General features: G+C 41.9%; 1 annotated feature.

Moving 5' to 3' along the window:
- Positions 1,372–1,923: an enhancer, noted in NCBI's record as "OCT4-NANOG hESC enhancer chr2:14654042-14654593 (GRCh37/hg19 assembly coordinates)". NCBI's record gives its function as "activates a minimal SCP1, AML or CMV promoter by ChIP-STARR-seq in naive H9 embryonic stem cells {active_cell/tissue: H9 hESC(naive)}" and the evidence as "EXISTENCE:reporter gene assay evidence [ECO:0000049][PMID:30033119]".

Here is an 8,862-nt window from a genome sequence, read left to right as displayed (position 1 = left end):
ATGGCTGATTAATTTTTAATTTCTTTTTGTAGAGACGGGGGCTGCTATGTTGCCCAAGCTGGTCTCAAACTCCTGGCCTTGGCCTCGCAAAGTGCTGGGATTATAGATGTAATCCACTGTGCCTGGCTCCATGTTATTTTTGTTCTTTTCAAAAATAATTATAAATGTTTGTCTCTAACTGTTGTTAACGAATTCACTGAGAATGATTTTCTTTTAATAAAAAGGAAAGAGATCATGCCAGGAAACAGTTTGCAAACCAGGAAGGTATAGCCTTTGGTATGAAACAAAGATGCACTCCCAGAAAACAAAGACAGAGGTTGTCTTTTATAGAGAAAGTTCCCACCCTGCTTTCTACTCTGGTCTGCTATGAAAAAGAGGAATGCAAACTTGTTTAGTTTTGATTGGTTAAGCTTGCTGAAATCTGATTGGTCACACAGTCTATTTGTTAGATCCAGGAGGCAAAATGGGATTTTCCAGCAGTCATTGATACAAGCAGCACGAACAAGAACAGATAGCTATAAAGTCCCAAAGTTATGTGAGCATGTAGGTTTTCTGGGAACAGAGAGTACTTGTGTGACCTCTAGTCAGCAAATGGCTGCTTGGCTCTATTTTTGAATTTATGCTTTCAGCCACTCTGGAACCATCTTAAAAATTGTCTTTTTCAGGATTCACACTATTTATTACCTTGGGGATAAAGTTTCCCCATTTGCCAAGTCCCTCAGCCCCTCATCTCTTCTTTGAATGTGCTGTGCTGCAATCAATTGCTTTTGTCTTCTGTGCCTAAAGGGGGCATATTTTTCTTTTAGACAGAAATGAACTGTTTGAGCAGAAAATTGATGCCATGACCCTCCCTATACAATGATATTTAAATCAAAAATTTATCGTCTAAATTTCCAAAGACCTGCCCAGTTTGTAGTTTTAGGTGCATCACTGGTTAGCCATTTCTGCATGATACTGTGTTTGCTACATTAGTTCATGTTATTCCTGCTCTATGGAGAAAGAACTGAGGATGGGAGAGGTTGGGTCACATGTGCAGTGTAGCCATGTAGCTTGATTTATAGAAGCTTGATTTTTAGAAGACTGAAGCTTGATTTACAGAAGGACGCAAAACATGTTTGTTCATTAGGTTATTCAACAAATACATATGGTGCAACTAGGCAATGATTAAATAAGTCAATTCTCAGAGAACGTTTTCAGTGATAGGTCTTCACTGTTATTTAACTGAAGGAGGGTAAAGCTTGTCTTTTAGTTCCCAGTAAATCTTTGTCCATTTTTGAAGTACTGTCAAGCAATTAGCAAGCAAATGTGAAAATGTACTCAGGTAGGTTCTTATGTGCCTTCTCCTACCCTTCCTATAACAGGGAAGTCCAGGGAGTTTTTCTCCCTGGATAAATAAGCAAGAAACACAGTGTGACTTGTGTGCAACCCAGTGAGAGAATGAGAACATTACCCCAAATTTTTGCTGTGGCTCCAACATAAAAAAACTCTCACTGACTTCATTTGGAATATATAATCTCCTCCAGAAAGGCTGAGGATGGCTGCAAAGGCTCAGACAGGCTCTAAATAAAGTCTCTTCGGAGGAGGTTTGGAACTTCAAAGCAAAGCAATTGAGTCTCAGAGAAAAAAGAAACCTCTGGGGTCACCTCAGTGTGCTTCTCCACAGGCACCAAGCTGCTCACAGAAGTTCCTCTTATTCAGGAAAAGGTTGCAGCCCTGCTGTCTCAGGAGGAGGCCAGCTTGACTCAGAGATTCTAAAATTTCCTGAATGTTTCTTAATTTGTTCCATTCTCTCCATTGCTACCAAGTAACCTTAGCTGTAAATCTTCATATATCTTCTCTAGGCTCTTGCATCAGCCTAACAGGTCCCTGCCCAATGTCTAGCCACAGCCCTCTTAATTTGCAATTGCCAGAATTTTTTTTTTTTCAACTACAAATATGGTCAGGTTAATTGTCTCCTCAGAATCTTTCAAATCCTAGCATTTTATGCAAAGATCAGATGTTTTGTCCTGTGCTTATCTATCTTACTTCATTTTCTGTTTCCTTAGTACTAACGTCACAGTTCCTTGCATGGTCTGTGGAGGCCAACATCTCTGTACCTTTACACATGCTGTTTTCTGAGACACCTGTCCTTCTGCCTTCTCCCAGTTGTTCAGTTAGTAAGTCTTTCCAAATGTATACCTCTTCTAGGTACATGTCTAGGCTGGATAAGGGCCCTTATTTTTCCCAAGTAAGCATCCTAGGCTTACCTTTCCAAATGAATGCTTTCTCCTTTGAAGAAATCATCATTGGAGGCTATGCACATATTCTGAGGTGCATTAAATATATTGTTTTAAAGTCAATTAAAGGCTGGGCGCAGTGGCTCACGCCTTTAATCCCAGTACTTTGGGAGGCTGAGGTGGGCAGATCACCTGAGGTCCAGAGTTCGAGACCAGCCTGGCCAACATGTTGAAACCCCGTCTCTACTAAAAATACAAAAAATTAGCCAGGCGTAGTGGCGCATGCCTGTAGTCCCAGGTACTCAGGAGGCTAAGGCAGGAGAATCGCTTGAACTCAGGAGGTGGAGGTTGCAGTGAGCTGAAATCGCACCACTGTACTCTAGCCTGGATGACAGAGTTAGATTCTGTCTCCAAAAAAAAAAAAGTCAATTAAAATATTTTCAAGCCTTGTTTCTCACTAGATGGCCTTTGACCTACAACATTGGAGATAGTTTGTGTCATGTTTTAACACATGTGTTTTCAAATCAGGCACATTGGGCTCAAATAACAATTCTGTCAAGTACTAGTATGTGTCCTTGAACAATTTCACCAGCTTCTGAACATCATTTTTTCCTCTTTAATATATAGAAAATACAGCCACATAAAGTTTTTGTGAAAATTATTTTTATTTATTTATTTTTTATCATTTTTTTGAGACAGGGTCTGACAGTATCCCATGCTGGAGTGCAGTGGTGCAATCATAGATTACTGCAGCTTTGAACTCCTGGGTCCAGTGATCTTCCTGCCTCAGCCTCCCAAGTAGCTGAGACTACAGGTATGTGCCACCATGCCCAGCTAAAAATTAAATAATGCAATGGATAAGTAAGACATATTTAGCACAATAAATGGTACATATATGTTGGTTAATAAATATAAAAGGTTATATATCACATTTTCAAAAATATTTTTTGACCTTCTCAGTTGCCTATTCTCTGCTTTCTGTTCTCTCATAGAACTTTCTTTCATATGTGATGCAATTAAGGCCCATAATAGGACATATTATACAGGAGGGATAATATGTCCTATTATGGAAATAGAGAGAGGAGGATAAGCAGGCACTTTTAATAGTACACCAAAGGATGTTGTCCTGAGTTCTAAGTGAATTCATAAATGTAAAATGGCTGACACATATTGGGTACTCCATGAATGTTTAGATTACCTTTTCACTGATGGCAAAACGTGGTTTAATGAAGTTATTTATGTTCTTGGAAAAATATTGGAAAAAGATCTAAAGCCAAACTATGGTAGTCAGAATCATGGCCACCCCAAAAATGCCCATGACCTAATCCTTGGAATTTGTGAATATGCACTCTTACAGGCAAAGGGGGATTAGGGTACCTGATGCCACTAAGTTTGCTAACCAGCTGACCCTAAAATAGGGAGATTCTCTAGATTATCCAGAAACTGTTAATGGATTCTCCCTCAGGTCTCCAGAAGGAATGTGGCCCTCCTGACACTTTGATATTAGCCCAGGGAGACCACAGTCTGAAAGGATTGTGTGATAAAACTTTGTGTTGTTTTAAGTCAATAAGTTAGTCGTAATTTGTTACAGCAGCATCGGCAAAGTAATATACAAACTAAAGAACAAATATGAACTTCTGATGGCTAGCCAGGAGCCTGGAGTTTTGTTATAGGGTACTGCATTGGTAGTTAAAACAAAATTGCCTATAAAGTACAGAACTGAGTTTCTTTAGGAGCTCATGAACTATCTTGGCACATAATTCCTGAAAGCTGATGTGGTTCTCACCGTTTACCTTTATCTTACCAGTAAACTTCAGAGAAAACCAGCATGTCTTCGGTAGCCGGGAAAGTGTTAGGGGCCGTCACATTTTTGATCTCCCTATGTATGAGGGTAGTTGACTTAATGCTGGTGAAGAAGGAATGCAGTGGCAGCTGTTCTGTAAAATGCTGCACATTTGTTAATCATGTTCATCATCATGATGACAACAATAATGACTAGTAGTTGTTCAGTATATTTCAGAAGTTGTACATATGTTTTTCTAATCTTCACCCCAAAAAGAAATCATACAAAGTAGCTATTCATGTATCTATCTATCTATCTATCTATCTATCTATCTATCTATATATATATATATTTTTTTTTTTTTTTTGAGACGGAGTTTCGCTCTTGTTGCCCAGGCTGGAGTGCAATGGCACTATCTCGGCTCACTGCAATCTCTGCCTCCCGGGTTCAAGCAATTCTCCTGCCTCAGCCTCCCGAGTAGCTGGGATTACAGGTATGCACCACCACGCCCAGCTAATTTTGTATTTTTGTAGTAGAGACAGGGTTTCTCCATATTGGTCAGGCTGGTCTCGAACTCCCAACCTCAGGTGATCCGCCCGCCTTGACCTCCCAAAGTGCTGGGATTACAGGCATGAGCACCATGCCTGGCCCATATATGTATTTTTAAAATTAGGGAATTGAAGCACAAAGAAGTGAGTTGCCCAAAGGTGTAGAACCTGTACATCACGGTGCCTCTACCAACATCTGGTCTTGGAGACTCAAGCCCGTGCCTTGTACGTTATGTAGTACTGTCTCCCTAACAAGCTGCACTTCTCTTTTTCACTTTAGAATAAAAAAGCAACTGACATTATTCTAAAATTTGTATCATACCTTGGTTTGTGAAACTCACCCCCATGCCCCCTGCCATGAAACCAATTCTGTACACAGAACTATTTGATGGGTTTGATATTCAATGTCCATTCTTTCTAATAGATGTTGCATGTCAATATGCTGCTTATGGTGCTGAAGAGCTATTATTTCACTACAATATCATCATATAAAATGTCATTGTGTTTTCCCAGGCACAGTGCTGTGATATGCAGTAACATTGAAATCAGAGGCTATTAGGACATTTTCCCAGAACAAAATGTGTCCCAGAAGAAACAATGTGATGTGGCTTATCCTGGTGTGTTATTTTCTCCCAAGTAATTGTCTCCTCCCCCTGCAAGCTCACATATTTTAAGCTTCACAAATAACACTTTCAAGAAGACTTTGAAATGAAAGGCCCACACAGTTATAGAGAACTCTAGGGACATGTGTGTGTGTGTGGTGTGTGTGTGTGTGTATTTGCTTTTCTTAGGCGGATACTGAAATGGCACAGAATGTGGGAGGTGTTATGGTAGGTTTCCTGAGGCCTGGGGAGCATGAAAGAATCCCTTCATCAGCCTTATTGTTGCAGAATTTCAAAGCGAGGCCAAGAAAGAATAGGTGTATGAACAGTCAGGCTAGAAATTCACCATCTCCTCTGTTTCAATTGTGTTTCAAGTCCATTGCTCAGGTGACCTTACACAGTGTTGGGAACTAACGAGGGTGGTAAGCACATCAGCTTTTCAAAGTGTTACTGATTTAAATTGCCATCTTGGATTTTGCTTCCCTTCTGAAGCCATCTGCTCTCATCCGGAAGGGAACGTGGTGAACTGGGAATTAGTAAGGAATAGATTCTTATCTTTTATGATTGACCTATACATTTTATCCCCAAGAAGCTGGAGGTGGGAAAATTCATGTATTTATTCATTCACTCGTATAAACCATTTTAATTAAAAATAGCCAGTGTGCTCAAAACACAAGTGCAGCCTGTTTCCGAGAGCATACTTTTTTTTCTTCCTTTTAGACCGTACCACTTCATATATCCTTTGAATTATATAAACACACTTAATAACTGGTTCCTACCCTTGAGAAACTTGGGGCAAAGAGACTTTCACATGTAGAAAATCCATGGCTCTTTAAGGCACCTACTGTTAGCAAAACACCAGGGGTTTGGTCAAGGTCCTGCTGCTCCAGGCACAGAAAGCCAATCACTGCGACACCCACTGAGTATTACCAAGGAAGAAGGCTTTAATCAGGTGCTGCAGCCAAGCAGATGGGAGCTCAGTCTCAAATCCATCTTTCTGATGGACTAAAACCAGGGGTTTTTATAGCAGGAAAGAAATGTAGCAATGTGTAAGAAAACAAGAACTAGGGAGATGCAGGAAGTGATCATTGTGAATGAGGGGTCTGGCTTCTGGTGTAGTGATCTGGTGAGTTTTAATTTTTTGATACTTTTTTGAGAGACTGAAGGTCCTTTCCTGAGGAATGAACTGAGACAAAAAACAAGTATAAGTTTCAAGACTTAAGACCAGAAGGGTGGGCCAGGCACGGTGGCTGACGCCTGTAGTCCCAGCACTCTGGGAGTCTGAGGCAGGTGGATCACCTGAGGTCAGGAGTTCGAGACCAGCCTGGCCAACATAATGAAACCCTGTCTCTACTAAAAATACAAAAAATTAGCTGGGCATGGTGGTGCACGCTTGTAAAATCCCAGTTACTCATGAGGCTGAGGCAGGAGAATCACTTGAACCCAGGAGGCAGAGGTTACAGTGAGCAGAGATTGCACCACTGTACTCCAGCCTGGGCAACAGAGCAAGACTCTGTCTTAAAACAAAACAAAACACAAACAAAAACCAGAAGGGTCAAGTTCTATGTTTATTTTATTTTATTTTTTAAGTTACCTATAGGACTATTGGGTGTGTTTCACTACCATGCCAGCTTACCACATGAAGGGCCTGAGCAAGATTTAGCTATAGAAGAGAATCTGCTAAGTTGATGACATGTATAATACCTGCCATATTTCCAGAGGGGCTGCTACCACTTTAAGCCAAAACTACCTGGGAATGTTTTAGAGAACAGCTATTGAATAAGCGGGCTTTGAGGAGATTGGTAGGATCTAAGGGGTAGAAGAAAAGCAAGAGCATTTTAGGTGATAGTGCTGCTACGTGTGTGTCCCCGTATGGCCCTAAATAGGCTTGGATGAAGTTATGGCTTTTTATGGGAAGAATGGGAGAGCAGCTGAAGAAGAAGGCTAGGCAGGCCTTGAGTGCTCCAGTAAGAGTTCACACCTTTTACAGGTGAAGGTAAGGTAAGCATTTGACAGATGGCTTTTGTTTCTTTTTTTTTTTTTTCTTTAATCAGTGGAATGGCAGGCTTACATCACTAGTTTAGCATTAGTTTAGGTGGTGAGTATGATCTATTAGGAGACAGAGAGGCAAGTAACAGGTGTGCATCAGGGAGGGTTGTTTTATTTTTCCAGAAGTGAGAAAAGGGAGCATGGAAACCAACGAGAGGCAAGTAACAGGTGTGCAGCAGGGAGGGTTGTTTTATTTTTCCTGAAGTGAGAAAAGGGAGCATGGGAACCAATGAGGGTTGTGAGCCCAGAAGGTGCCAAGTGCCTCCCATACATGATCCTAGTTTATCCTTGGTGCAGTAGACACAATGATCCTCGCTTTAAAGATGAAGAACTAAACCTTGGACAAGTATGATAACATGCATGAACTCAAAAGAATACTATTCTATAGAACTTTTCTTGGCTCTATGTCTCCTGTTCGTTTCACTTCATCAGGCTGCTGGGAGATCATGAGCACAAAGTTACTGTACATCCTGAGTTAACCTCCACATTACAATTGCCAATAACACAGCTCATATCCTCCTTACAGACACACAATCATGGTCAAAGCTTCCACTTCCACCCTTCCCAAAAGGCAGGGAAAGGGAATTAGAAGTGGAGGGTGATATATTCTCTCAGTGGGAAGAAGAATTCTTCTCTTGTTTATTAACTGAAGTCATCTCCTTGCTTAATAAATTCCACTGGGGTGATCCACAAGATCTAAACACATGGAAGCCTTTTTTTCCTTTTGGGGTGCTCTGGGGAAGATGTACTTCATAGCATTTGCCTTTTGGAGTTTGAAAGGACACGTTATACTTAGATCCCTTTCTTGCCATGATATCATCTATTCATGTCCTATGTCCTGTACACAGCAGTCTCCCAACAATGACTGTCTTATACTGGAATGATCTGCCTTGTCTCCCTTCCATACCAGATTGAGGTCTTTGAGACCAAGAATGGTTGCTTTAAAAAAAAAAAAATCTGTTTCTCTAAGTTTTAGATCCTGAGAGAGCATCTTGGCATATTTAACTAAATTATGTGTTAAGAACTCTGACTAGGGAGGGAGCCAAGATGGCCAAATAGGAACAGCTCCGGTCTACAGCTCCCAGCGTGAGCGACGCAGAAGACGGGTGATTTCTGCATTTGCATCTGAGTACCCGGTTCATCTCATTAGGGAGTGCCAGACAGTGGGCGCAGGACAGTGGGTGCAGTGCACCAGGCGTGACCCGAAGCAGGGTGAGGCATTGCCTCACTCGGAAAGCCCAAGGGGTCAGGGAGTTCCCTTTCCTAGTCAAAGAAAGGGGTGACAGACGGCACCTGGAAAATCGGGTCACTCCCACCCCAGTACTGCGCTTTTCTGATGGGCTTAAAAAACGGCAGACGAGGAGATTATATCCCGCACCTGGCTGGGAGGGTCCTACGCTCACGGAGTCTCGCTGATTGCTAGCACAGCAGTCTGAGATCAAACTGCAAGGCGGCAGCGAGGCTGGGGGAGGGGCGCCCGCCATTGCCCAGGCTTGATTAGGTACACAAAGCAGCCTAGAAGCTCCAAGTGGGTGGAGCCCACCACAGCTCAAGGAGGCCTGCCTGCCTCTGTAGGCTCCATCTCTGGGGGCAGGGCACAGACAAACAAAAAGACAGCAGTAAGCTCTGCAGACTTAAATGTCCCTGTCTGACAGCTTTGAAGA

Source organism: Homo sapiens, chromosome 2, assembly GCF_000001405.40.
Source record: "Homo sapiens chromosome 2, GRCh38.p14 Primary Assembly".
Lineage (NCBI taxonomy): Eukaryota > Metazoa > Chordata > Mammalia > Primates > Hominidae > Homo > Homo sapiens.
The sequence above is the reverse complement of the archived record's forward strand: the minus strand, read 5'-3'. Positions and strand labels throughout refer to the sequence as shown.